This window comes from Homo sapiens, chromosome 8 (genome assembly GCF_000001405.40).
Source record: "Homo sapiens chromosome 8, GRCh38.p14 Primary Assembly".
In the NCBI taxonomy this organism is placed as follows: Eukaryota; Metazoa; Chordata; class Mammalia; order Primates; family Hominidae; genus Homo; species Homo sapiens.
In genome coordinates this window covers 74,178,371-74,182,448 of record NC_000008.11, presented here as the reverse complement: position 1 = coordinate 74,182,448, position 4,078 = coordinate 74,178,371, and positions in this window count along the sequence as shown.

Below are 4,078 nucleotides of genomic sequence, written 5' to 3'. Positions count from 1 at the left end.
ATGTCCTTAATTTCCTTGACATGAGACAACGAACCTTGGGTATTACCCTAGATGAATGAGGCCACTTCAATACTACATGTGCTACTGTACCCACTCCTGCCTCTTTGGTCCCAGTCCTGGACTAACAGGGTGGCAAAGTCACATAAAAGAAATACTCCAAACACAGTAGTCATGCATGCAAAAGGCATTACTATCAGAAAGGATTTGCTGAATCAAAAGGGGCGCTCACCTGAGAGCACAGACTGACTCGAGTCATTGAGGCTACTTTCTGAATTTGAGCTTAGACAAGTAAAACCTGAGGGAGTCCCGTCCTTTCAAGGATGTCCTAAGAGCTATCAAGTCTGGTCCCACATTTGGCCTGATTTGTAAAAGATCTGAACAATAAATTAGTTGAAGACCAAGCCTAGGTTTAATTCCATCAAAGAGTTGACGCAGTGAACTCAACTTGATCAAATATTCCCGATTGAACCTAGCAGAATTAACTGACTTAAATAAAATATGTATTCAGAAGCAACACCGGACAAGACATGAATGAGACGGATACAAAGATGACAGCCACAGGTATAGACACCCTTGGCATACTGTCTATTAGAAGAGATAAAACCCATTTTTTGTAAATTTAAAAACAACATAAAATGTTGTAGGTGCCATAACAGAGGGGCATGAGGAAAGTGCTATAAGAATTCGGAAGTGTGCCAGGCACAGTTGCTCATGCCTGTAATCCCAGCACTTTGGGAGGACAAGGCGGGTGGATCATCCGAGGTCAGGAGTTTGAGACCAGCCTGGCCAACATGGTGAAACCCCATCTCTACTAAAAATACAAAAATTAGTTGTAATTCTAGCTACTCGGGAGGCTGAGGCAGGAGAATCGCCTGAACCCAGGAGGCGGAGGTTGCAATGAGCTGAGATTGTGCCATTGCCCTCCAGCCTGGGCAACAAGAGCAAAACTTTGGCACAAAAAAAAAAAAAAAAAAAAAAAAAAGAATTCAGAAGTGGGATTTTCTTCTACCTGTCAACAATCAGGTAATGTTTCAAGCCAACATAGCATTGATAATAGTTGGGTTGGGCCAGAGCTAGCATGTGCGAAGGGGACTAGTGGGAGATGAGTTGAAAGGGGAACTTATGGGACTTTAAATTCTTAAAGGGACCTTAGGGGACCTTATTTTTGATCAAGGAGTTTGGATCGCCTTCAGTGGACAGAAGGAGCTACTCTAGATTTAGAAGCAGAGGAGAGTTAAACAAATTTATAGAAGTCCCTTGATTTGGACTGAGCTCCAGCAGTAGGCCCCAACAGACCAAACCAAAATGGAGTCACTCATGCTAAAGTTCCAAGTTCGAAGTTATTTATCTGACCTTTTGAGAAATCAAGAGGGCAAGATATAGCCAACTCCCCACACAGGCCAGTTTTAGCTGGCAGGATAAGGAAGTCCCCTCGGCTGTAACCCTTACAGGGTGAGTAACCTAAGTAGCCTAATACTAACTGATCCACTTTTTGTTCCCTGTTCCTGCTTTCTTCAGCCTTTTCCTGCCTAAAAAGCCAAACTCCTCTGCTCAGCAACTTGGGGCGCCTTTCCTAAATGTTTCAAGGAGATGCCACCCTCATTCATGAATCAGAAATAAAAGCCAATTTGATCATTTAACAAAATTTGTTGTAATTTTGACTCTTGACAGGAGTGTCATGAATTGTTCCTGAGGATGGAGATTCATGTCTCAACGTGGAAAACAATGAATTGCAGCGGAGAGAAAGTAGAGCTGAGATAGAGCAAAAGCCAAGGTGTTGCTGGTGTGGCAAGAGGAAGCAAACCACAGGAGAGAGGAGCAGACACTGCACTTAGACAACCAGAGAAATAAATGACTTCGAAGGAACACCATGAACAACATCAGTGTGGGCTTGTCTAAGGTATTTCTAAGACCCTCATTAAGCAGGGAAAGGTATAGAAAAATGTACTTTTTAAATAAAATATCTTTCTTAATTCAAATTTTATCTCCCAAATAAACTTTTAATTTACTTTTTTGTAATGCCAAATTAGGCACTTCAGATTTGAAGTTAATCTTTAAATCTGGGTTTTTCCCCCCTCTGCCATCTTCTTAAGCACATACCAATGGACAAATCCAAAGTTTTTTCTCAGAATGATTCAAAACCAGTACTTTGTATTTCATTTACTTCTATTTAAACTTTATTTTAAAAAATCTACTGTGTTTTTCTCAGTATAGCTGAAGAAATTGTAAACATGAAGAAGGTTTTTGGCATATGTCTAAGTGTCACCATCCTGCCTCTCAGAATTCTAAGCTACTTTATTTTTTATATTTATTTATTTATTTTGAGACAGTGTCTCACTCTGTCACCCAGGCTGGAACACAGTGGCATTGAGAGGTGACAGCGTGCTGGCAGCCCTCACAGCCCTCGCTCGTTCTCAGTGCCTCCTCGGCCTCGGTGCCCACTCTGGCTGCACTTGAGGAGCCCTTCAGCCCGCCGCTGCACTGTGGGAGCCCCTCTCTGGGCTGGCTGAGGCCGGAGCCGACTCCCTCTGCTTGCAGGGAGGTGTGGAGAGAGAGGCGCGGGCAGGAACCAGGGCTGCGCACAGCGCTCACGGGCCACTGCAAGTTCTGGGTGGGCGTGGGCTCCGCGGGCCCCGCACTCGGAGCCGCTGGCCCCGGGCAGTGAGGGGCTTATCACCCGGGCCAGCAGCTGTGGAGGGTACGCCAGGTCCCCCAGCAGTGCCGGCTTGCCAGCACTGCACTCGAATTCTCACCGGGCCTCAGCTGCCTCCCCGCAGGGCAGGGCTTGGGACCTGTAGCCCGCCATGCCTGAGCCTCCCCTCCACCATGGGCTCCTGTGCAGCCCGAGCCTCCCCGATGAGGGCCACACCCTGCTCCACAGCGCCCGGTCCCATCGGCCGCCCAAGGGATGAAGGGTGCGGGCGCATGGCACGGGACTGGCAGGCAGCTCCGCCTCCGGCCCCTGTGCGGGATCCACTAGGTGAAGCCGGCTGGGCTCCTGAGTCTAGTGGTGACTTGGAGAAACTTTATATCTAGCTAAGGGATTGTAAATACATCAATCAGCACTCTGTGTCTAGCTCAAGGTTTGTAAACACACCAATCAGCACTCTGTATCTAGCTAATCTGGTGGGGACTTAGAGAACCTTTAGGTCTAGCTAAAGGATTGTAAACACACCAATCAGCACCCTGTGTCTAGCTCAAGGTTTGTAAACACACCAATCAGTGCTCTGTGTCTAGTTAATCTGGTGAGGACTTGGAGAACTTTTATGTCTAGCTAAAGAATTGTAAATGCACCAATTAGCACTCTGTGTCTAGCTCAGGAATTGTAAACACATCAATAAGCACCCTGTCAAAATGGACCAATCAGCTCTCTGTAAAATGGACCAATCAGCAGGATGAGGATGGGGCCAGATAAAGGAATAAAAGCAGGCTGCCCAAGCCAGCAGTGGCAACCTGGTTGGGTTTCCTTCCATGTTGTGGGAGCTTTGTTCTTTAGCTCTTTGCAGTAAATCTTGCTGTTGCTCACTTCTTGGGTTTGCTCTGCTTTTATGAGCTGTAACACTCACCGCGAAGGTCTGCAGCTTAACTTCTGAGGCTAGCAAGACCACGAACCCACCGGGAGGAATGAACAACTCCGGATGGGAGAAAGGAACAACGCCAGACGCGCCGCCTTAAGAGCTGTAACACTCACTATGAAGGTCTGCAGCTTCACTCCTGAAGCCAGCGAGACCACAAGCCCACCAGAAGGAAGAAACTCCGAACACATCCAAACATCAGAAGGAACAAACTCCGGACACACTGCCTTTAAGAACTGTAACACTCACCGCGAGGGTTCGCGGCTTCATTCTTGAAGTCAGTGAGACCAAGAACCCACCAATTCCGGACACAGCGTGATCTCAACTCACTGCAATCTCCACCTCCCAGGTTCGAGCGATTCTCTTGCTTCAGCTTCCCAAGCAGCTAGGACTACAGGCGTGCACCACCAGGCCAGCTAATCTTTGTATTTTTTTTTTTTTAGTAGAGATGGGGTTTTGCCATGTTCTCCTGGCCAGTCTCTAACTTCTGACCTCAGGTGATC